Source organism: Homo sapiens, chromosome 3, assembly GCF_000001405.40.
Source record: "Homo sapiens chromosome 3, GRCh38.p14 Primary Assembly".
Taxonomy (NCBI): Eukaryota; Metazoa; Chordata; class Mammalia; order Primates; family Hominidae; genus Homo; species Homo sapiens.
The window spans coordinates 15,140,056-15,143,393 of NC_000003.12; the positions used below are offsets into that span (position 1 = coordinate 15,140,056).

Here is a 3,338-nt window from a genome sequence, read left to right on the forward strand (position 1 = left end):
AATTCCTACCAGCAGTGTATGAAAGTTCTAGTTTCTCTGCATCCTCACCAACACTTGTTATTTTCTGTATTTTTTTTTTTTTTTGAGACAAAGTCTTGCTCTGTCGCCCAGGCTGGAGTGCAGTGGCACAATCTCAGCTCACTGCAACCTCTACCTCCCAGATTCAAGTTACTCTCCTGCCTCAGCCTCCCGAGTAGCTGGTATTATAGTCACCTGCCACCATGCTTGGCTAATTTTTGTATTTTTTTAGTAGAGACAGGGTTTCACCATGTTGGCCAGGCTGGTCTCAAACTCCTGGCCTCAGGTGATCCACCTGCCTCGGTCTCCCAAAGTGCTGGGATTACAGGCATTAGCCACCACACCAGGCCAATTTTCTCTATCTTCGATTCTAGCCATCCTTATAGGTATGAAGTGGTATCACATTGTGGTTTTGATTTCTGTTTCCCTGATGATGAGTTTCATTGAACATCTTTTCATGTGCTTATTGGCCACTTGTATGTCTTCCTTGGAGATGTGCCATATTTTCATATTCAAAAATGAGAGCACAGGTCCACACAAAAATTTGTACGTGAATAATTACCACAGCATCACTGCTAATAACCCACAGAGGGAATTAATCCAAATGCCCATCACCAGATGAAGAGATACACCGATTGTTGTCTACCCACATGGTGGAATATTATTTGATCACAAAAAGGAGGAAAGTACATACGCTACAGCGTGGATGAACCTTCAAAACAGATGAAAGATCACATTCTACATGATTTCATTCAGATGGAAATCTATAGAAATAGGAAGTCGATTAGTGGTTGCTTAGAGCTGGTAGGGGCATGGGAGGATAGGGGGTGTTAGCTAAAGGGTATGAGGTTTCTTTTTGAAGTCATGAAATGTTCTAAACTTGACTGGTAATGTTTGCGTATATCTCCGAATATATTAAAAACCATTGAAATGTAAAAAGTGCAAAGAAAAAACAGCCCAAGTTGCAATTTTATTCAACACTTGATTGGCTTTAAAAATAGATTCCAGGCTGGGCATGGTGGCTCACACCTGAAATCCCAGTGCTTTGGGAGGCTGTGGTGGGAGGATTGCTTGAGGCCAGGAGTTCCAGGCCAGCCTTGGCAACATGGCAAGACCCTGTCTGTACAAAAAAAGAAAAAATAAATATCAGCTGGGTGCAGTGGCTCACACCTGTAATCCCAGCACTTTGGGAGGCTGAGGCTGGCAGATCACCTGACATCAGTTCAAGACCAGCTTGGCCAACATGGTGAAACCTCTTCTCTACCAAAAATATAAAATTTAGCCTTTTGGTACTCTGAGCAGCACCATGGCGGTTGTTAAGAACAAGTGCCTTATGGAAGGTGGCAAAAAGGGAGTTAAGAAGAAAGTAGTTGGTCCATTCTCTAAGAAAGATCAGTATGATGTGAAAGCACCTGCTATGTTCAATATAAGAAATATTGGAAAGACTTCGTCACCAGGACCCAAGGAACCCAAATTGCATCTGATGGTCTCAAGGGTCTTGTGTTTGAAATGAGTCTTGCTGATTTGCAGAATGATGAAGTTGCATTTAGAAAATTCAAGCTGATTACTGAAGATGTTCAGGGCAAAAACTGCCTGACTAACTTCTATGGCATGGGTCTTACCTGTGACAAAATATGTTCCAAGGTTGAAAAATGTTCAACAATGATTGAAGCTCATGTTGATGTCAGGACTACCGATGGTTACTTCTTTCTTCTGTTTTGTGTTGGTTTTACTAAAAAACACAACAATCTGATACCGAAGACCTCTTATGCTTAGCACCAACAGTCTGCCAAATCCAGAAGAGGATGATGGAAATCATGACCTGAGAGGTGCAGACAAATGACTTGAAAGAAATGGTTAATAAATTGATTCCAGACAACATTGGAAAAGATGTAGAAAAGGCTTGCCAATTTATCCTCTCCATGATGTCTTCATTAGAAAAGTAAAAATGCTGGAGAACCCTGGGTTTGACAGGCATGGAACTTCGTGGTGACGGCAGTAGTTCTGGAAAACCCACTAGGGACGAGACACATGCGAAAGTTGAATGAGCTGATGGATATGAACCACTAGTCCAAGAATCTGTTTAAAGTTCAGACTTAAAACATTGGCAAATAAGAAGTCCTATTTGTGAAAAACAAACAAGAAACAACAATGAAAAAAGCAAAATTAGCCTGGTGTGGTGGTGCATGCCTGTAATCCTAGCTACTTAGGAAGCTGAGGCATGAGAATCACTTGAACCCAGGAGACAGAGGTTGCAGTGAGCCAAGACTGCACCATTGCACTCCAGCCTGGGCAACAGAGTGAGACTCTCTCCAAAAAGAAAGAGGAAAAAAAAAGTATCCAGGCTTTGTGGCATGCGCCTGTAGTCTCAGCTACTCTGAAGGCTGAGGTGGGAGGATAGCTTGAGGCCAGGAGTAATTTGAGGCTGCAGTGAACTATGACTGTGACACTGCATTCCAGCCTGGACTGCAGAGCAAGACCTTGTCTCTTATACATACATACATACATACATACATGCATACATACACACACACACACACATGCACATACATACATACCCAGGCTCTACCTCCTGTGATTCTGACTCAGTAGGGTGGGGTATACCCTAGGGATCCTGCTGTTCAGCCTGGTCTGGGATCCACTTTTCACTGGGAACTGAGACACTGGCTGTGAGCCTTTCTGTCCTGTGATGTAGAGGTCATGGCGACACAGGCTGAAGCTTAAGGAGACCTGACTGTACGTTAGGTATTGTGCTGAACATCATCTCTTACTCTCACAGCAACATCCTTAGAAGGTTAATGGTGTGTCCCCGCTCTACAGATGAGGAACTGAGCTTTCAGAGGAGTTTAGCTTGTTCGAAACTTATTCTTCCTATTGGAAACTTTGTACCCTTTGAGCAGTGTCTCCTATCCCCTACGTTTCCTCCACCCCAGCCCCTGATAACCACTGTCCTACTCTCTATTTCTGTGAGTTCAACTTCTTTAGATTCCACATATAAGTAAAATCATGCAGTATCTGTCTTTCTGTGCCTGGCTTATATCACTTAACACAATGTCTTTCAAGTTCATCTATGTTGTTGAAAATGACAGGATTTCTTTCTTTTTTAAGAGTTAATAGTATTCCGTTGTGTGTATATAGTACATTTGTTTTATCCTTTCATCCACTGATGGACACTTAGGTTGATTCTATATCTTGGGTATTGTGAATAGAGCTGCAGTGAACATAGGAATGTAGGGATCCCTTCGAAATATTGATTTCGATTTTTTTTTTGTCTATACCCAGAAGTTGGGTTGCTGGATTATATGCTTTGAAATCTATAG

General features: G+C 42.2%; 1 pseudogene; it reads left to right on the forward strand.

The window, feature by feature from the left end:
- RPS3AP53 (RPS3A pseudogene 53) lies at positions 1,301-2,149 on the forward strand (annotated as a pseudogene).